Source organism: Homo sapiens, chromosome 5, assembly GCF_000001405.40.
Source record: "Homo sapiens chromosome 5, GRCh38.p14 Primary Assembly".
NCBI lineage: Eukaryota > Metazoa > Chordata > Mammalia > Primates > Hominidae > Homo > Homo sapiens.
Window position 1 is genome coordinate 167,717,032 of NC_000005.10, and position 22,923 is coordinate 167,739,954.

At 40.5% G+C, this 22,923-nt stretch overlaps 1 protein-coding gene across 14 annotated transcripts in view; it reads left to right on the forward strand.

The window, feature by feature from the left end:
- Positions 1-22,923, forward strand: part of TENM2 (teneurin transmembrane protein 2) — a 1,285,129-nt gene that overhangs the window by 738,003 nt on the left and 524,203 nt on the right. The window contains exon 1 of one of the 14 annotated variants that reach the window (XM_017009669.2): positions 4,319-4,376. The exons of the other annotated variants lie outside the window; for them this stretch is intronic. The gene's annotated coding sequence lies outside the window, so the exon portion shown is untranslated. Of the gene's footprint in view, positions 1-4,318; positions 4,377-22,923 lie in introns of those variants that run through there. 14 annotated transcript variants of the gene reach the window in all.

Consider the following 22,923-nt stretch of genomic DNA (forward strand, 5'->3'; position numbering starts at 1 on the left):
TCAGCTCACTGCAACCTTCACCTCCTGTATCCAAGTGCTCAGCCTCCCTGGTAGCTGGGACTACAGGCACACACTACCACACCTGGCTAATTTTTTGTATGTTTAGTAGAAATGGGGTTTCACCATGTTGGCCAGGCTGGCCTCGAACTCCTGGCCTCAAGTGATCTGCCCACCTCAGCCTCCCAAAGTGCTAGGATTACAGATGTCAGCTACCATGCCCGGCCAACTTTGGTCCTTTCTAGCACTACCAAGACCACTCTATCCTGCTTTCCTGACCTTGGCATTCAATTAAGTATTTTGAATGCTTCATCCTCAACTATGAACTGACCCTCCCGCTACCCGCCTCACTTTAAGTTCTCAAAATGAGATGACTTAGAAGTAGGTTGGACATGTTCTCAAGTATCCTAAAATAACCTGGGTTGTATGTGAAAGATTCGATGGACATAGGCACCTCATACTCTGAACACTTTGCCTCCTTGAATGCTTATTAACTTTTGCTAGGATGCTATACTTTTTATACCATCCATCTCTTCTGAAATTTTATTAATTTCAGAATAAAAAAATTAATTAATTTTTTTTGGCTTCTTGAGTAAGTGTTTTCCCTTTCTGGTTGAAGGACTTATAGCAAAGGAATTGAGCATGACCTTTGGAATCAGCTCTTCAATACAATCAAAGCTGCATCGAGAGGCTGTGTGCCCTTGGTTTACCTTTCTGAGCCTCTGTTTTTGAATCTGCAAAGCGGGATTGATTAAAATAAATACAGACTGTAACCTCTGTGGGGTAGAAACTGTATCTGTTTGCTCACAGGTGTTATTCCAGAGGAAATGCTTGGGCAAGCAGAACTTTGTCTAAAATACCACAGTGTACTTCCTGTTGGAATTCGAAGTTGGTAGTTCTACCTTTGTCAAATACCCTGACTTCTCTTTTGAGATTTTCACACTGCTAATTCCCAAAGGAGATTTATTTTAAATAGGTGATCTTTGAAGGTCTCTGCTGTTCTGAAAGTCTGAATATCTAGCATGCATATATGAATTGGATTTTAGCTGTACTGTCATTGTTATTTCCGGAATCAAAGGGACTTACTGGCTTCCTGCAACATGACTTGGGGAACTCCAACTCCTTTTGCAAAGTCAAGCTCGGGGGATCTATCACCCAATTTATTTTTGTATAAATGTTTTTCCATGTCTTCCTAATTGACTCCACTCCCCATCCTGTTGCTGTGGAACTGGCCCTGCTCCGAGGACCTCACCTGAAGCTGTGTGGTGTAGAAAGGATGTGCTGGGCTTATTGTCTGACAAATTGGGTCCTGTTTTGGGGCCACTCACAGAAGAGCTGGTGACCAGGGCAAGTTACAACTTCCCTGTAGCTCAGTGTCTGCATCTCTAAAACAGGGTAATCACCACTGTCCTCTCTGCCTCCCTGGAGACAATGTACGTGAAAGCAGTGTGAAAAATCTCCTGGGATGAACAAGTTCAGGATGAGCCATTGGTAGTATTGAAAAGCACAGATCCTACAGAACCCTCTGGGACTAAAGGGGGCCAAAGTCAAATACATAGTTCAAAACAGGTTAAGTGAGTCTTGATATCTGAATTATTTTATCCATTGTATAGTGGAAAGAATATGGGTTTTGAGGTCATATTATAGATCGGGATTCATACAAATTAAAAATAAGCCAATTTCTAAGCACAACAAAGCAGGCTTCAGTTAAGAAAGTCCAGTTTGAGTCAATAGTTTGGGTTGGATTTTTTTTTTTCTTTTCTTAAGAATTTACCGGTTCGGTGATCTCTGACATATCATTTAACCTCTCTGAGCCTCAGTTTCCTTATCAGCACAATGATGATACTACTGCCCATTTTTCAGCTTCTTATGTGTGAATTAGAGAGAAAATATATAAAGCACTGAGCATAGTCCTGAAGACACACATGCCCAAAAGACATATTTATTATTGTTTCTAGTTTTTATGTTTTTCAGGTATACAACTAAACCTGATGTTGAACTCAATCCATATGTTAATAATGCTTTTTTTAGGTATGAAGCATTATTCTGCATTTATATGCAAATAAAGACAAAAAGATGTCTACCCATAAAAGCAAAGACAGGTTGGGAATGTAGTTAAAGTAGATGAGAAGAAGGAAATTCTTTGTCAAATTGAAGATTCCATTCCTATTAAAAACACGCATAACTTACGAGCTAAATTTCAGGATGGAAACACTTTTTGAAATGGATTGGCCTACATACTTGTGAAGACTCCGCGGGACCAAGTCCTGTTCTTCTGTCAATACCCATGGTTTCAATAACATAGCACAGAGGACTAGAGAGAGAAGGCAGTTCTTTGGTGACAAGAATTGAGATTTTAGGACAACACTAGGATGTGAGAAAAATTCCTAAGGGTTTGAGTTCAGAGATCCTGGAGACCAGAAGGAAGCTTCGAACAGCTGGAGTGGGGTTTCCACAGGAAAAGATGTGTTTCTAAGGAGGTAAAAGGTGAAGTGCATGTTTGATGAACTGAGAATGAGTGCAGAATGACAGGCAATTAATAGCCTAAGCTGTGGAAGAAGTTCGAGTTAGGACTAATGGACAGAAGAAAGTAAAATCTAAATAACCAGAATATTGGCAATAAAGTACATGCGAGAGAGTCTTCTGCAGAACTGAGCAGATCCTCCAGAACAGTGGTTCTCAACCAGTGGCGATTTTGCCACCTCAAGGAATGTTGCCCTGTCTGGTGATGTTTTTGTTTTGTACACGTGGGTGAGTGCTACTAGCATCTAGTGGATAGAATCCAGGGATGCTGCTGAACATCCTGAAATGTACAAGTCAACACCCTCCCACCACCCCCAACAAATAATTACCTGGCCCAGGTGTCAAAAGCACACAGGTTGAGAACCCTTGCTGTAGAATGGCATATTCCAAACTGCACTCCACTGCATGCAAAGGATAATAACACATTTTCTGTGGGTTAAAAAGAGGGGGGGGCTTGGGGAAGGGAGGTTCTAAGATCCAATAAACTGAGGAAGCTCTGTGTCTAATAAACAGATTTCTTTATTATAGAATGATTCTGAGTACTTAAAAACAAAAAGCATTTCCAAAAACAATTTTCTAAGAAATAACTTTGAAGTTACAAGTGTTCCACAAAACACGGGACAGGAAACACTGATCTAGTATTTCATATTAATTAGTTTTTGATAGAATATTACTAATTACCTACTTGAAAAAGAGTAGACATATTTGACATTAAATTGTTAAAAATAAACAAACAGTTAAACATAAAACCTAGCCATGCATATGAAAAAAATATGAAAGCACACAAAGATTGCATACTGACAGAGAATGCATCATCCGGATAGTCCAGGCAGTGATGAAACCAACGGATGTTCCAGTACATACTTCCCTTCTACCATCTGTAGCACTAAGAATGACAAGAGTCTGATGTCTCATCAATATGCCGGGATGCTAATACAACCTTTTCCTTAGTAGGCACTCTATATTTGAATTTATTGTAGATACTTAAGTGATTCTCCCCACCCCTGTTTGTAAGTGAGTAGTTATAGCAGATGCTCACATCAGATTGCTGTGTTTGTAAAAGGATTCTATTCATTTGCATGTTTTTCTCTGAAATATTGCATTTATTTATTTCAGTGCATCTTCTTAGAAGATGTATTCAATAGGGAGCAAGAATAATATATACTCGTGGTTGAATGCGAGACCATAATTTAAATAGAGGTATTGGACTGACATCAGAGATTTGAGTGAAAGTGGAAGCCCAGAGGAAGGAAGGGGACAATTTATTATTGTTTACATATTACACTGCAGCTTTAGATTCCCTTAGTTACTACTTGAATGTAAAATGTATTACTCAGAAGAGGATCTGGAATGAACTCTATGCAGAAGACGAAGTTGGGTGGGTGTTGTGCTGGAATGAAAGCTGCAGTCGTCTTTGCAGATGCCAGTGTACTGGGAAATAGGCATGTGTATTTAGCATAATAAAGTCCTGCATTCTCATTGCCCAATCACTTAATTTTCTAAAAGAAAACTTATATCCTATCTCTCTTTTGATCCTACTTACTACAATATTAAGGGATTTAACAGCCTTAAGACCTTTTGTCCTTCAATCATTCATTAGTTTGATGTTATACCTAATCCCCATTTCCATTTGCAGAGAAGTCAGTGAATAGAATCAGCTACCATTATTAAACAGGTTTTAAAAAACGTACCACATCACTTGAAAAAAAAAATGATGAGGATTTTTTGGAGTGGTTTAATTTTGTATCTAATGCAACTAAAAACCTTACATATTCTTTTTTTCTATTGCTGTCATAACAGATTACCACCAACAGACGCTTAAGCGAACACACATTGATTATCCTACGGTTCTATAGGTAAAAGATCCGACTGGATTTCCACTGGGCTAAAATCAAGGTGTTAGTTGGGTTTCGTCTCTTTCTGGAGCACATAGCAAAGATTCTTTCTTCGCTTGGATTCCTGCTTCAAGAGGCTGTTTCCATTCCTTGGTTCATGGCCCCTTCCTTCATCTTCAAAGCCAGAAGTGTAGCCTCTCTTTGAGCCTGCTTTAGTTGTCACATTTCCCTCTGACCACAGCCAGGAAAATTTCCCCACTTAGAAGGACATGTGGATGAGTTCAAACTCACTTGGATAATCCAAAATATTCTCCCCACCTCAGGGCTCTTAACCTTAATCACATCTGGAAAGTCCCTTTTGCTATGTAAAGTAACATATTCCCAAGTCCTAGGCATTAGGACATAGACATTGTTGGGAATTCATGATTCTGCCCACCGTGCTTTATTTCCTTCCATTTCCAATGCGATTTGACAGAAATTCCAAATGATTCCCCCCAAAATCAGAAAAACCTATTTCAAAGTGTTTTATAACACATTAGCTGTTACTTCTTTAGCTTTGAAGTGAAATTAACCCAGACGTGAAATCCTCAGCTCTGTTTCCTTCCCACTCATGCTGTAGAAATAAACCTCCCAAAGATGCTGAGTAGGCTCTGTCCCAGGGCCAATGATGGCTGGTGGAGGTTGGTGGGACATCTCCCCTCTCCACTTCCAGCTATAAATCCCCATGTGTCACCCAAAGCCTGCATGGCTCACTTAGAGAAGCTCAACTGAGTGACTTCTGCCTCCCCTCAGGCACTGACTCCTACAAGCAGACAATTACTGGTGTCAGCAAGCATGTGCCTGTGGCTCGCTGCATGATTAGCCGTTAATATTTGGTTTTGAACTCCATCAGAGATAAGCTGTTCTTGCAGCATATCAAACCAGGCAATCTAATGCAAAGGATGCTATGGTCAGAATAAAGAGTTGCTCATTTTCCAAGAGATAAGTAGGTAGATAGATTGATAGATAGATAAATAGATAGATGGATACATAGATATAGGTAGAGATACAGCTATAGATTTAGATACAGATACAGATATAGATATATAGAAATAGAGATTTTTTAATAGACTAGTTTTTAGAATTCACGGATTCTTGTTGAGGGTGAAAAAGAAAAAGGGATACAGATCATGACGTCAGGAGATCGAGACCATCCTGGCCAACATGGTGAAACCCCATCTCTACTAAAAATACAAAAATTAGCTGGGCGTGGAGGTGCACGCCTGTAGTCCCAGCTACTAGGCAGGCAGCTGAGGCAGGATAATTGCTTGAACCCGGGACAAGGAGACTGCAGTGAGCCGAGATTGCGCCACTGCACTCCAGCCTGGCCATAGAGTGAGACTCTGTCTCAAAAAACAAAACAAAACAAAACAAACAAAAAAAAACAACTTTTGAGCTAAGTTCTCAAATATGTTTCTACTTCAATTTTAGGTCTCTTTCTCCTAAATATCAGAAAATGTCTTTGTCCAATATGAGTAGTCACGGAGAAATGAGGCAGTTTATTGGTAGTGAGAGTGTGATGAGGCAACCAACTACAAAAACCCTCTTTGGAGCTAGAATGATAGTGTTAGATTTCTATATCCCTCAAGGACTTTAACATTATAACCACTATGTCTGTCATTAAATACACCTGAGGTTGTGTATTCAGTGATTATAACCCTATTGGCATGCTTTTAAAAAAATTAAGGCTATTTTTTAGTCTGTGCCTGAAAACCACATTTTTAGGTCCCACTGTTGGCTAAGGAAAGAGTTAGGAGTTCATTCTTTGCCCAAGGTGCTGGGCTTATTTTATTAAAACATCCTTGCATGGTGACTTTCCTTATATTCAAAGTTCATTCCAGACGCCCAGCCTGATTTGGCCCCTGAGTCCTCATCTAGTGCCACTCTCTCCCTTGCTCACTCTTGTGCAGTCATGTTGGGCTTTTTCTGTTTCTGGAATGTACCGAATTCTCCAGTCTCCCCACCCTTGCACTTGAGGCTAGGTCTTTTCCCGGCTCCTCCTTCATTCATAAGTGCATTCTCAGCAAAACCGCCAGAGGGCGCCTGACACGTGAGCTCTGATCTGTCTTCAATGGCCTCCCATTTCACTCGAGATACAAGCCAAGGCTCTTATATCTAGCAGGAAGGCTGTCCACCATTTGAACTCAGTTTCTTCTCTGACCTCCTCTTCTGCCTACTTTCTTTTGGTTGCACCCCTGGACTTCGCTGTGTGCCTCAAATATGCTGGATATGCTCCCACCTCAAGACCTCTGCTGCTGCTGTTCCCTGTCCTAATAGTCTTCCTCTTAGTGTACACAAGGCTCCCTCCCTCTCTTCCTGCATCCTACTGCAGTTTCAGGTTCTAGACCAAGCATGTAGTAGGTGCTCAAGTAAATATCTATTGAATGAATGAACGAAAGCAGGCATTACTGTTCATGGAGCCCTTTCTGACAACCCTTTATTTAGCAAAATGGGATTTGCACTCTGCTAAGGAACGTGAATCTAATGTAAAAGATGGTGTCCCAGAAGGCTGTGAACTTTAGTGTTCAGACACACTGAGGTATAAATATATGAGTTCCACAGCCCTTCTGACTTTCTGTGCAGCTGACAGTACCTGTTTGATGAGAATTAAGTTTCCTGGGTACTCTGTAATTTAACCAGGACAATTGTTGCAGTGAGACCAGAGATTGTTTCTTTTGCTTTTGCCCATTCTTGTCTTATATATCTCATTGCATCTTATATCAGTACAATATTGGTAAATACTAGCACAAATAGCAAACTTTCTATGTAGTACACCCGTTAGGCCTCAGTGTGACTTGCCTTCCTCTCCAACAGCAGCCTTGTAAATGGTTTTGGAAAAGACAATCTGTGGATAAATTACTAGTTTTTTTTTTTTTTCCCATGTACTTACTGTGTGACTTTGGGCAAGTTTCTTAATGTCTCTGAATCTCTTCATGTATAAAACAGGGTTTTAAAAAATTCTACTTCATGAAGTCCTCATGTATTCATTTAATAAATATTTCATTGAGCACTTACTATGGTTGAGGCATTATTTAGGTGCTAGGGAAAGAGGGATGTACAGGACAAATAAGATGCCCAACTTTCATTCTATTGGGTGGAGGGAAGGAGGGAAGACAGTAGAGTAGGAAGGAGATGACGAATTCAGTAAGGTATTTTTCATGAGTGATGAGTGTTATCAAAGAAATAGGCCCAGGGAAATGAAATAGAAAGGGAAGAGATAGGAACACCACTTCAGGTTGAGTTATCAGAGAAGACTTCATTTCTTTGTGGCTGAGATCTAAATGCTGAGAAGAAACCAAACACACAAAGATCCTAGGGTATAATGTTCCAGGCAAGGGTAAAAGTAAAGTTCAAAGACCCTGAGACGGACAGTAGCTTGATGGTTTGGGGAACAGAAGGAAGACTGTCGAGCCCGCAGTCGTAGTGAGAGTGGTATTAAGGGAGCTCAGAGACATAAGCACAGGCTGGATTACGGCAGGTAAGCTCTGCAAAAAGTTTCTGGCAGAAATCATCTTACCACTCTTCCTGGCACCTCATAATTATCTAATAAATTTAAATGTCCTTTCTTTTCCAAATTTCAATTTTCTAATTAGAAGAAGGATTATATTTATTCTCCATTAAAATAAAGGGTATGAGCAAAGTTATGTTCAAATAGTTTGGTATGCTTGTGCTAATTTACATTTGTCACCAATCATGATTTTAATTAAATACATGGGAAATGGATTCTTATTAAAATTCAATAAATTTTTTTTTTACCCCAAATGTGGTCAAGTGTTTTCCCCTGGATTTATGTAAGCATAACTCCTATGATATGGTGTAAAATGAATCACACTTTTTTTTTAAAGATGCTTTTGTTTGAGTATCTTCAAGAAAAATCTGTTGTGAGAAAGATCCTAAACATATGTATGTATAGATGCATATCTTTGAAAGCCTATGTGAATACCAAGGGAATCTGAACTTTTTCTTTGGAGATGTTTACATAATAAATCTATTTTCATCAATCTGGCATATTTTTCTCCTAGCACTGACTTACTGAATGCCGCTGACCACGTGCTGCCTCTCATGCTAAATGCTTACTTAATTCATCACCAAATTCTGTAGACTGTACAGGCTAAACACCTCTAATGCATTTACTTATTTTCATCCTCACTGTCCATCACACTCCCTCCCTCCCTGTTTCTGCAACAGCTTCCCAATTGGATCTTTTTAAATGCAAATTGGATCCTGTGTTCTTTACTTTAAAATATTTGTATGGCTCGCCAGTGCCCTGAGTGGTTTAGGGGTTCTTAGCTTTTATCCCTTATTTACTTTTCTAAGTGCATCTGTTACCACTTCCTACAGGTCAGGGTCACGCTTAAGCTCCTCCCATCCTCAAAGAAGCCTTACTCTCTCGCTTTGCCTTGTCCCTTTTGCCTGAAATCCCCTTCCTCTACTCTACTTTAGCCCCTCCACCATTACCAGACTAATCTCTACTCATCCATTAAGGCCCGCTTCAGCCCTCTCCCAAGGGCTGCACTCCACAAACCCCGCCCCCACATGTCTAGTTATTAGCACTTCGCTGTGCTTACACACCTTCTAGAGGTATCAGAATTATCACACCCCATTGTTAGGACTGGCTGCCTAGCCATCCCACTAGATTGTCAGATGGTAGGGGCAGGCATCATGACTATGGGGTTCCTCTTAAATCCCAGTGCTGGGCACGCTGCACGGCATAGAGCAAGTACTCAAGAAATGTTTCTTGAATTTAAAAGGTGCCTTTAAATCAAATGCCTCTGAAAAGGGAGTTGATAATGCTCCTCATTACCTGAAGTTTAGCTTCATGATCTATGGTCAAAAACATCCAGTTTGGTCCTACCTGTGGAAGCATATTGACTGCCCTTAACTCAAGCCCTTAACTCTCTAATTTCACTGATTTCTATAATAGAAAGAAGTATTATTATTACATTGTTTATCATGGAGCTAAAGTTTAGTTTTTGCATGTGAATAGGCGAGGCCCCTTCTCACCCCTTTCCTTACCTTCCTTTTTATTTATTTACTTATTTATTATTTTTAGAGACAGGGTCTTACTCTGTGGCCAGGCTAGAGTGCAGTGGCATGATCATTGCTCACTGTAGACTTGGCCTCCCAATCTCAAGCGATCTTCCTGCCTCAGCCTGCCAAGTAGCTGGGACTACAGGCATGCACCACCACACCTAGCTAACTTTTTTATTTTTTGTAGTGATGGGGTCTCATTATGTTAACCAGGCTGATATTGAACTCCTGGCCTCAAAGGATCCTCTTGCTTTGGCCTCCCAAAATGCTGAGATTGTAGACATGAGCCACTATGCTGGGCCCCCTTTTCTTATTCTTAGCAGGAGCATTCCAAACTCTGGAAATCTATGCCCAAACCGTTGCTTTCATTCCACGAGCTTGCTAATGGCCACAGATGCCTGCAACATTCCTCAACTCCCCTAGCTTTCAGTTTTATCCTGTAAAATTGATTGCTTTGAATTTCTATTGTTAGTAATTAATTGAAAGAATAAGTCTTCATGATAGGTCAATAAATATGTTTTATGGATGAAATCCCAGCAGTGCAAATGCAAAACTTGTGTGTTTTAAATTTTAAATGGTTACCAAAATGAAGCCTCCAACTCTACTCAAACTACAGCTTGCAAAATCAGTAATGAATCCATTAATTTCTTTTTTTTTTTTTTTTTTTTTTTGAGATGGAGTCTTGCTCTGTTGCCCAGGCTGGAGTGCAGTGGCGTGATCTTGGCTCACTGCAAGCTCCATCTCCCGGGTTCATGCCATTCTCCTGCCTCAGCCTCCCGAGTTGCTGGGACTACAGGTGCCCGCCACCACGCCCGGCTAATTTTGTTTTGTAATTTTAGTAGAGACGGGGTTTCACCGTGTTAGCCAGGATGGTCTCGATCCCCTGACCTCGTGATCCTCCCGCCTCAGCCTCCCAGGGTGCTGGGATTACAGGCGTGAGCCACCGTGCCCGGCCATCCGTTAATTTCTTGACATTGTTTTTCACATGCCTTGTGTCAGCTCCCCTAGGCATCTACTGAGTCCCACCTAAAACAAAGACTACTCCATACATCTGCAATTTTTCAGCTGAGGTAGAGAAATGGAGAAGCTTACTACTGTTGTAACGTAGATATATTTGTTCATGTTCACCTTGATCTACTTTTCGACATCACTGGCCAAGGTTTAAATTTAGATTCATCTAACATTTTGTGTGCACACATTGTGCTAAGAACACTGCTAGATACTTTACATGTATTTTATCTGTAAATATTCAAACTCCAGGAAAAAGTTATTTATTTACTACAGCACCATTATGCAGATGAAGATATTGAGGCCCAGAAAGGTTTAAATGTTTATTTAATGCCACACAGCTGTTAAGAATTCAAATCTAAGTTATTGTAACTCCAGTACAAACTCTTTCCTTTATATTGTGCTACCAAATAAATCCCAGGGACCCTTTGCCCTTTTGGGATAAATATTACCATTATTTTTCTGGTCTTTGTGTCTCATTGGGAACTTGCTGTGAGATCCTGAGAGTGTCGCTTAGCTTATGCAGGTGTGACTTACAGCCTGTGTCAACAATCTGGCCCCAAGTAACATGCCAGGTAACAGTTTCAAGCCTGGGTTACTTGAAAAGAAGGCTGAGTAGGTTGGTGGGAACTGGGACCAGTCTTATGATGGAGGAATATGCTGTTGCTATTCTTGAAATTCTTTTCCTCCACCCCACTTCATCCCCTACCCCTTGTTGTTGGCAAGATTTATCTTCAGGTATCCAGGGAAGATGAACTCAAGCTACCTCTCCTCCTTCCCTTCATTTTGTCTAGGTCCTCAGTCCTGCCTACACACAAGTATTAGATAAGTCTCCCTAATTTTAAATGGAATGGCTGGCCAGGCATGATGGCTCACGCCTGTAATCCCAGCACTTTGGGCGTCTGAGGTGAGAGGATCCCTTGAGGCCAGGAATTCGAGACTGGCCTGAGCAACATTGGGAGACCTCGTCTCTACTAAAAAATAAAAAATAAAAAAAATTAACGGCATGGTGGTGCGTGCCTATGGTCCCAACTACTCAGGAGGCAGGAGGATTACTTGAGCCCCAGAGGTCTAGGCTGCAGTGAGCTATGATTGCACCACTGCACTCCAGCCTGGGTGACAGTGAAACCCTGTCAAAATAAATAAATAAATGAATGAATGAATGAATGAATGAATGAAATAGAAAGAGTGGCTGAGGGAGTATGTGTTTCATTCTGTGTTTTATCTACAGCTCGAGAAGCCTGGAACTCTGTGGTCCTGCACCTCCCCCTACACCCCCCAACAAAAATTAGCCTCCAATCAGCTCCTGGAGACAATGTTGGTGGGAACCACAAGGGTTCCTGGGCATGCCCAATCTCTGGCACTGAAGAGGAGATTCAATCAAAATAAATGTATGCTGTCGAGGCCAGGCTGGCCATATGTTCCTGCCAGGCAGTTGTCAGGAGGAGATATTTGTTACATTCAAATGTGGACACAAGCTCCTACGAAGGCAAACACTTGTCATTTAAAGGGACATCTGAATATGGCAGCATGTTTCCAGTGATAACCCAATTTCATTTTACAGCCTTTTCCTTCCCTTTCTCTTGGGCTCTGGGCCTCCTTACCAACACATCCTGTTGGCCAGCCTGCTCTATCACAGCAGTATAGTTGAAAACCTAGGCACAGCTTTCTACCCATAAGTAGCTTTGTAATATTCCTAGGAGGAACTTCCTTTCTCCCTTCCTCTCCCACATTGCCTCTTTGTCCAGATGTTAACGTGGAAGCATATTGACTGCCTACTTTCAAGCCCTTAACTCTCTAATTTCACTGATTTCTGTAATAGAAAGAGCTATTATTATTAAGTTTTTATCACAGAGCTAAAGTTTAGTTTTTGCAAGTGAATAGACCACTATTCTCCTTCCTGTGTTAGTAACTGCTTTTTAAAGCTCTTGTGTTCTATTAAAATAACAATATAAAATTATGTAAATGTGCTAATTGCTTTATTGAAATTAATACCCTTATTTAGCAAGTTAAACCTTGCAAAATGACCATTTTTATTAAAAATTATGGAAGCATGCTGGCTGTTTAAAGGCTAATGTAATTGGGTGAACTCAGCAACTGGGAAATGTCAATTAATGAGAGATTGTTAAATAGTATTGTTTAAACAATCAATTTTCTCTTGCAGTTTGGAAAATGGTCCTGATAAAGTAATAGTGACTATCTAAGGCCTGAAGGAAGGTTTGTGAGTATTTTTTCCCATCTGGTTTTTAGATCTGTTGGATTTTCTTCTGGGTGTGTCAAAATTAGATTTGTTTAGTAATAGAAATTTGAACTTGGCAGTTTATAGAAAATCAGGATAGTTCTCCTCTGTGAAGGTCATTTTCTAGCTGGCAATAAATGGCCACATGCAACCTCTGCCACCAGACCGTGAGCACTTGTTGAAATAGTTGGAGACATCTAATTACTTTCTCCTGAGATGGTTTGCCTTTTTCTTAGAACAGGATTTTGAGACTATAAAGAGATCTATCTCTCTGCTCTTGATAGTTAGAATTATTGCGTCTCCTTGATAAGATATTGAGTATCCTTCTTATGGGTCTGAGTTTTTTTAGCTTCTCTACCATTGGAAATAACAATAATGCTTGCCACGAAACCATCTAAAAATCCATCGTCTTTGCAGTAGCCTTCAACCGGAACTACTGATAGCTGTTCCTGCAGTGCCGTTGTTCTCATTGGAGCATACTACAGAAACCTATTTATGAAAATATCTTGTGGTTTCCAAATAGTTGTAGGAAAGGGAATTTTTGGTCACTTATGCAATTTACAGAATTGAGGTCAGTTGAGGATGTTGGGATAGTTCTGACTGGAGCTGTGAAGACAAAGGTATGAGTAATACTCTAGATCTCTAAGCTCATTTCCAATTGTATATTGTTTGTGAGTCATTGGCTTTGAAAACCAGAGGAGAGGCCCACATTTGAGTTTATCTGTAAACACCCGTTTTTGGTGTCATCCAGCATTTGAAAGTAATAGTTGTAGGTGGTGGATCATGTTTAATTTCTAGGGCTTTTTGTGAATAGATGATAAAGTGCTCCTTTATTATATGATAAGACACAGCTCTCCACTCTCCCTCCCACTCTACTCCCCCGTCATCCTGGAACTAAATCACCAGAGGGTTTAATCTATTTCAATTTTCTTTGTTCACATCAGAGATGTTTTGGGTTTGTTCTGTGGACTTCTTATGACTAAGAGTATTGATTTTATTAATCCAATTGTTTGTGAACAAAAGCTGGCTTTTTTTATTGCTGGAACTGAAAATTAGTGACATAAACTCTGATATCTTAAAAGGCTAAACTCACATTTTTCCCCAGAGGCATTTACCAAACTGGCTGTTACATTTATCCTTTCCTCTACTAAATTTATGCAACATGAACTGCAGGATAATAAGCGTACCAATATACTTAGGTTCCTAAGAGTTTCAACATAATACTTCTCACAGTGAAATCATTGGTTCAGTTATAAGACACTCCATGCACTATTGAAATACGACCTAGGATGCACCTAGTTTTACTCTGATTTCTGTGTAGATGTGGATGCAAGGATTCTTTTGATTGAAACATGTCCTTAGTTTCCATGAACAAGGCAACATACACCTGATCATTCCACCCTTGAAAGATGCAAATAATCTTTCACGTTTTATATTAAAACACCAGATAAAAACCCCATGCCAGTTGACTAAAATGAGTTTCTACCCTCCAGACAGTTTTTTTTTTTTTTTTAGTTCTAAGGAAAATAGTTCAATTTTAGCTGTATCAATAGCGTTTTGAGCGAGATGGAAGATGTTCGCCTCCGTTACAGAGGGAATTTCAGGCATTGCATTGGAGCTGAAATTTGCTGGCACCTGCTGAGTGAGATTTTTCTGGCCTGTGCTCTGAGAACATCTTTTATCAAGTGCATGATCATTTATCCAGCTTTTTGAGATCTAAACCAGGTCATTCTTTGATCTTTATCTTACTCTGAACTTCCTAATGGTTGAACCCGGTCAGAAGAGGGTGAATCTCAGTCCTCCAGACCCTTCAGGAAGAAAGTCATCCTGTTGGTAGTTTAGTTTTCTTTGTAACAAAAGCATTTTTTTTTTATTTAACCTATTTTATCACTTGAAAATCTACTATTTTGTTTCTGCCATCCTAGAGTGTGTTTGGTCTAATTGAATCTCTTCATGGACTCTGGGTGGTCACTAAAGCATCAATTTCTCAGAGGTTTTTTTTTTTTTTTTTTGAAATATTTAAGGCTATTTGCTTGCCTCCAAATGGTTCCAGACTACTGCATGTAGTTTTTATGTCTTTCTTTGGTAGTATAGCCTTCTCATTTGTTGCTTTCATGCTGTTACCTTGTCACAATGCCTGGCAAAAAGTAGGTGCTCATTAAATATTTCTTAAATGAATAGATGATAGTATTTTCTCTTCCTTTTCTAATTGCCTACTTCTAATTTGTTGATGTTTTGGAAATCAAGTAGGCATACATGATAATATTGTGAGCAAATCAAGATTAAACAGTATATAATTGCGGGCTTTAATCCCTTGGAAAGTAAAAAGCCAGGACTTATTTTGTGATACTGATCTTGTGACAACTATTTTGACTACTAAGAGGTGGCTTTTAAAACATGCTTTGTGCTTTGGAACTGAGCTCTGAATCCACAAAAACTGAAATTTTTGAATTCCAATTAGGTGAGGTATCTTTGTAGTTAGTTTTCCATCCAATGGTCATTACCAACACCTAAGAGTACTCCCAGAAGCAGGCTGTAGAAAAATCACTAGGCCATTACTGTGTTTGTGCTTATTTTAATTAGATTTCTTTTAGATTTTTTAAAGCTGTCCAGGGAGAAAATGTGTCCCTTGTGAATGCAATGTCCATTATGTAAAACTTAAGTGCATCAGGGGCTTTGGAAAGTGTAAAATTTATACTTAGGGCCCTGTTTAGTCAATGTGATGAGATTTAAGATCAATTATAGGGGAAGAAAAGAACTGGATACATTATTGTTTTTAAGAAAACTTAAAAGATGATAAGTATGTTTTTTGTCTCACTGCCAAATGGTTGACAGTTTGCTTTTTTGAATTGCAGTGGAGCTTTTTGAGATGTTGGTCAGAGCCACTTCTGCTACTCTCTTATTGTGTTCTGGCTAGAAGTGTTGGGAGGACAAGAAAATTTCTCATTAGTGACATGTAGTGACACTTCACTTTATTGTGCACGGATGATTTTCTGACAGAGATAGATGACATGGTTCAAGTTTCCAAGAAAATGTTATTCCATCATTGAATGGGGAAGCTCTGAACCAATCTTTCCGATTTACAAACAGACCATAGATGTGCCAAATATGACAAACTGATACTGAAATGTGGAGCCTTGAAATTGAAGATGTTTCCTTGTTCATTGTTGGGTATATAAGGTTACAGGTAACTGAGTACATTAACCATGCCATGTGTTCACTTTTCATTAAGTAGTGACGTGGATGGTGCAAGGTCGATAGAGAAAAGTCTCCATTAGTCTGAATTTTTTGACACTAGATTTTTATTTTCCTATCAGGAAATATTTTTTTCTGGAGCAGAAAGGGCAAAATAGTTTCCTCCATTTTCTCCAACAGGAGCATCTCCTCAATAGGATTCCTCAGCTTGACTCGCTGGTGTCAAAGAGAAAGGCATATTCCCAGGCAGTGGCGGAGTTGATTGGTCACCTGCTACCCCTTCCCTTCTGTAACATCCACTAACTCCTCATCTCCTTGCCAATAGTGCCCACTTTCTGTTTGACATCAAGGAACTAAATATAGTTAGTTCTGACAGAATGTCTAGTCAGTGCTGTGTCAGTAAATGGTTAATAACAGGCACTGAGGGCCTGAGTGTGGATCTGCTTGTAACATCTGATGATTTGATTTCCATGGTGTAAGTATTCTCACTATGACTAATTTCAAGCCACCAAAGTAACATCGAATGTGAAATTAAAAAGAAATACTAACAACTGGCTCCCATGATCCCATAATACTCAATACCAGCATACTACTACCTCTATTCCAAAGCTGCTGTTTTACATACAAGAAAACTGTGATCTAAAGGAGTGAAGAGGCTTTTCTGAGATCGCACAAACAGGGTAAGACTTGCGCCAGAGTACCTATCCCCAACTTCTGAAGTTAGTTTTTAATAAGCTGATGATCTGATTTACTTATGTTTACATATGTAGCTGCTAACTGAAACAAATTTATTTCTTTTAAACGGAAGGGCCCCTTAGGTTCTTTGCTTAAGACCAGAAAACTAGCCAATGTTTCACAAAGTCAGTATTTTAGACTCTGCTGCCCAGTTTCTGGACAAGAATCCCAGTGTATCTTAATGGAAGCGGCTATCATGTATTGCGTATATATGTGCCAGTCACTCCATATGCATAGTGCCACAGAACCCACAGGGAAGGCATCATCTTTCTCTCCACATTGCGTATGAGGACACTAAAGTTCAGAGATAGAAACTTACCCAAGGTCACGTCTCATACGTACTAAGGAGTGTAGTGAGATCTTGACCCCAGGTTTCCTTGACTTCAGATAACACTTTGCCTTGCACTTGCTGCATTGTTCTGGAGAGGTCTTATTTCCACTATGTGCTGATGGACTTTGGGGATTTTCTGTAATTTAGGAAATATTTGTGGGAAACAAATTACTGTACCAAATGAAAATGCAGATGGAGCAAGGGTTTGATGAACAGGTAGGTAGCTAATAGTATCCATGGCCCTTTGGGGTTCTGATCATAGTTTTTAGTATTTTCCCTGCTACTTCGTCCCTCATCTCATCTTTGAGATTTGGTAAAGCTAACTGTGAGGACTCACCTGAGAGGACCCACATCTTATCTCAAAGGTCCTTTTAAAAAATAATATGAGAAATATTCATCCACTTCTAGAACTAACGGTGAATAACCAGTAGTTAAAATCTAAAAAGCAGGCAAAAGGGTTGCATCTTTTAAATAAATATAAATAACTATATTAATTAGATATAATCATATATAATATATGCAATATATTATATATAAATAATATATAATAAATATATTAATAGTTAATGACAACAAGGCTGGTTAAAGCAAAGGCTGCTTCGTTTTATCCTTCTTGTGCCAAACGAATGGCATTCCTATATGATTCCCATAGTTTGCCAGTGTGTTCTATCTACATTATTTGGAGTGAGTCTGCAGCTTTCAGTACTGTGGTCTGCATTAAAGTGGGATGATTAGCATAATCTATACTGCACCCTTAAGAATATGGGGGCAATTAAACACTGAGCTTGACCTACCGCCCTCTTTTGCAGGGCAGAGATGATCCTGCACAGCAGAGGTGATTATAAATATCAGTTCTATTCATTCTTCCTCTCAACTGCTTCGTCTCCCTTCCTTCCTTCATCTCTCTTTCTCCACGCTCTACACATGCAATTTTTAACCTCCAAAACTGGTGAAAAACTGATGGCATCAGGCTATCTTGCTGGAAATTGAAAATGCCAGTCAAACAGGGTCTCCAAATATCCAAGTATCTGGATGTTTAGGGTGGTGTAGACAAATTAACCAGATGCATCCATTGTGAATCTGGCTCTTTTTGGAGACCTGTGGAAACAACAAATATCTATATATAAAGAGAAAAATAATACTAACAAGCAAACAATTGCTTTGAAGTTCCATTGCAATTGTACTGTTATATGTCTGGCAGCCACATCCAGTGTCTGAAAATCGTGGTCGTATTTGCTATAACAAATCATTCCCACTGATTCCCATGTTGAAGTCTGAAAATTTACAGATGAAAAAAACTATGTCAAGATATCCAAGGCAATTTCTGCATTTTTAAATAAAGAAATAGAAGTAGTGACCTGCTTGGTAAAGACTAACTAAAATGTCAAGTTGCTTCTTTGTGAAAATCAGAAAGTTTGCTTTGTGTTAGTATGAGAAAAACTAATCAGTCAATACTAAATAAATGTAATTTGGTAAACAAAACCTGTTACAACTAGAAATACTTAGCAGATTTTTTAAGAATAAAAAGAGGGGGCTGGACTTGTGAAAACTATTGACCAGGAAGTTCTTTGACCAGGCTGAGTGCAGTGTCTCACACTTTGGGAGGCCAAGGCAGGAGGATCGCTTAAGCCAGAAGTTCAAGACCAGCCTGGGCAACATGTCAAAACCCCATCTCTACAAAAAATACAAAAATTAGCTGGGCATGTTGGTGCACACCTGTGGTCCTAGCTACTCAGGAGGCTGAGGTTGGAGGATCACTTGAGCCTAGGAGATGGAGGTTGCACTGAGCCAAGATCATACCACTGCACTCCAGCCTGGGCGATAGAGTGAGACCCTGTCTCACAAAAAGAAAAAAGAGAAAAAAGAAAAGAAAAGAAAGTTCTATGACCGGTTCATACCAATCCAGCCATGATTCACTGTACACCCAACTAAGTGCCATACAGCAGTGAGGTCAAGATTGTACTTGTAGCATATACAATCTAGGGGGGAAAATAAAGTTTTACACATTCGATGAATGTTACCAAAGTGTATTAGTCTGTTCTCACACTGCTAATAAAGACATACCTAAGACTGAGTAATTTATAAAGGAAAGAAGTTTAATTGACTCACAGTTCAGCATGGCTGAGGAGGCCTCAGGAAACTTACAATCATGGTGGAAGGAGAAGCAAACACGTCCTTCCTTCACATGGCAGCAGCGAGGAGAAGTACAGAGTGAGGGGTGGGGAGAAAGCCCCTTATAAAAGCATCAGATCTCATGAGAACTCACTCACTATCGCAAGAACAGGAGGGGATAAACTGCCCCTGTGATTCAATTATCTCCACCTGGTCCCTCCCATGACACGTGAGGATTATGGGAACTACAATTCAAGATGAGATTTGGGTGGGGACACAGCCAAATCATATCACAAAGGGACTTAGAGATATCTATCTAGAATTTCTGCTTCTAACCAAACAGAATTTGAACAGGAGAGTCATTTACCTATAGTTAGTGATTTTATAGGGGTCAAAAATGCAACATCCTCAAAATTATCCATTTTGGCAAACCAGTTTACAAATCCTATATTGCTCACTTCTTTGGGTTAAGGTATTTAAGGTCTCAGTAAAAGATAATGCTGTAAGACAACGATGTCAAGCCATTATGAAACCTTAAAAACTCGACTCTAATAAATGTGTTGGATTAGCAGCCAGTCACCTAGGACCTCCACAGAAGCCCTGGCTCAGGAAAAAAAAAAAAAAAAAATCCTCTGAGGGTCTGAAGAGAGGAATTTGGAGAGGAAGGAATCCCCGAAATGCATACTTCCAGGTGAGGGAGCCCCGGTGGGAACTTGAGAAGTCTTGTTCCTATCTGAAGACCCATAGGCTGAAAGAGATATTGAAAGGAACATCCTAACAAGGGGCTGAAGCAGCCACACCAGACAATTCTGATGGGGAAGTCTGCCTTCCCTAGCCAGTGAACTAGCCTGGTAGAACACCTGCTAGATCTGGCTGCAGAAAAGCACAAGTCTCCCTACTGAATGGCAGCAAAAATGAAGCAGAGTTTCTGAGATTTGCCCAAGGCCATAGAAGCAGTCCGCCTCACACCTGGGATTGGGATTCAGATCTTTCTGCCTTCCAGAAAGACAACTCCTGTCGCTCCCGATCATGTCCTATTTTTAAGTTCATTAGTTAACCTCTGGGTACTTAGCCAGTTCCAAGAGCCAGTACGTCAAAGCGTTTTTAAATGGACGAGCCTAAAGTGATCATTGTCTGGTTGGCCCGGCTCACCCCGTGAGCTCCTGCAAATGTTCTGTGGTTCATACAGAGGCTGGCTGCTCATCAACAAGTTTCTCTGGGAGGTGGGAAGCATCTTTCTTCTGATCAGAACATGCCTGTCACAGAGCGCCGGCGGCTACCAAGCAGTGCCTGCTCGAAAGAGCCACTGCCCCAGCCTGGGAGTCCAAAATCTGTCTTCTGGCAGAGGCTTTAACTGTTTGGCTGCTGCTTTCGAAGGTCCATGCTGGTACCTCCCAGGAAGAGAGAACCCAGCTGGGAAGCTGCCAGTTGCAGGCAATCTTCTCCTTCATTTCAACTTAACAAGTATTTAATGTGTACCCGCTGAGGGTCCAGTCCTTTGGGGTATGCAGCCCTCTGGAGGTCTACAATCATGCTGGGGAGTCCAGACACAAGCAGGAGGCAACCAGATGATACATCAAGGCTCTACATAATTAAGAGCTCTGCAGTCACGGCTACAGGAATTCAGGGATGTTCAGGGCTGTTGATGTAGCACTGCCTCTGCAAAAGGACAACTAGCAGTATTTAGAAAGGACCCAAAGACATTGTTTCTGCCCTATCAGGGTTCTTTGTCTCACACTAGGACACAAGTAAAAATATCAGGCAAAATGAGACCTCTGCTTAAAGGGAGAGCTCATGAAAATGAATGGGGCTCCCCTGATGCACAAGATTCTTCTCCAGACAGTTCTATAGGGCACTGAGCTGATCCCTATCACTCTGAGGTCAAAGGGAAGGCTAACTTGGCCTCAGCTGTCATGGCTGTGTTGTTAATCAACCCTTCCATGCTAAACTCCCAGCTCCAATTTGCCTCCTTTTTCTTGTGCTGATACTTGTTTTATTTTGTCCTTGCTTTTCAGCATTTGCTGGGCACCCACAGGGTTCTGGCACTCCAGCAAATGCCTGGGTGGCAGTGGAGTCATAACTCAGAAGACAGGATGCTGTGCGTGACTGCTTGATATCTAGCAATGCAGTAGCACGGTGGAAGTTTCTGGCTGTGTTAAATTCTAATTGTTTATATAATAAGAGCGTAGCATTGGGGGGCTGTTATAACATGGAGTGATGTGTTGAGCTTGAGCTTACATGGTGTTAGATCAGCTTTCTCACACTTCTGATATCCTCTCACCTCCTGGAAGAGTGACTTCTTGAGCTAGGCAATTTGCTTTTAGAAGATTTATTGTTAAGTCTGATTAAGTAATTATTAGTAAAATAATTTGTTGGATGTCTGTCCCCCTTGCAAAACTGTAATTCTTATGCAGGCACTGACACAATGTGGATTCTTCTTCATTGCAGCCCTAGTGTCTTAAACAGATTTGTGATGAAATAATCGATAAATATTTATTAAAGTGATTATATTATTTTTCTAGGGATACCATAAGAAAATTCCACAAGCTGAGTGGCTCAGACAACAGAAATTTATTTCCTGTCAGTTCTGGAGGCTGGAAGTCCAAGATCGAGGTGTCAGCAGGTGTGGTTTTTCCTGAGACCTCTCTCCTTGACTTGTAGATGGCCACCTCCTCACAGCATGCTCACATGGTCTTTCTGTGTGCACCCTCATCCCTGGTGTTTCTCTGTGTGTCCAAATTTCCTCTTCTTATAAGGACACCAGTCAGATTAGATTAGGGCCCACCTGAAAGTCCCCGTTTTAACTTAATCACCTCTTTAAATGCCCTATCTCCACATATAGTCCCATACTGAGGCACTGGGGGTTAGGGCTCCAACATATGAATGGGGGACACCATTCTGTAACAGGGATGAATGATAGAAACAGAATGAAGTATATTGCAGAAAACTGGATCATATTAAAGTGGATAAACTAGAGAACAATATACATAAATACTACATTAAAACGAGTTAAAGTTATTCCTTGCAATAGGAGCCCTCTCCCTCATTTGTTCCCTTGGCTAGAAAAGGACAGGGTGGCTTTGCAGTCTGCAGGCCAGGAATGGTGTTCTAGCCATGGGTAGGGTGTAGATTAGTTCTGTAATTTGGGAATAGTCTATTTCTATTTCTGGGCTTTTGTTCTTTATTCTACAAAATAAAGGGAATCGGGCTCATGAAGTCACTCAGTGATCCTATGAAAAGCCAAACCAGAATGGAAATATTCCTTATGGCTTCTCTGTTTGACTAAGAGTGATAATCTGCAGTAATTCTCTTTCCTCCAAGGCTCATGGAGAGAAAGAAGAGACCCAAAGTCTACTTTGTCTTTTCCTTAGTGGGATTCCAGTTACCTGTAAGCCAGACAGTCAGGGAAGCAAAAGTCTCTACCCTAGGAAGCAATAAGCAACTCCCTAAATGGGAAAAAAGCCAGCAAATGCTCCTGGTTCCCATCTTGCTGGCAGGGAGCAAGTCTGTGCTGCCTTGTATCTGTCTTCTCCTGTCTTGGTGATGACGGACTTTAGGAGATACAGTGTTCAAGGAAGCAGTAAGGACCATGAATCCACAAAACAGGAAGTCAAACCCTAGTTCCCCTGCTGACTTGCTCCAAAGCTCAGAATACCAAACTGGTGAAATCCCAACTAAGACCACTTTTCACACTATTCCACTGATGTTTCCCATTCTTCCCCGTTTGGAGTGCAGAGTTGAGACATTACCTTGAGCACTGAAATGACACAATATACACATGGAATTTCCTCCCCATCCCCAGTGCAGTTTTCCAGCAATATGTGATAACTAATTACTTGTGACCCTCGCTTCCCCTTGTTATCTCCTGGAAATAGTTG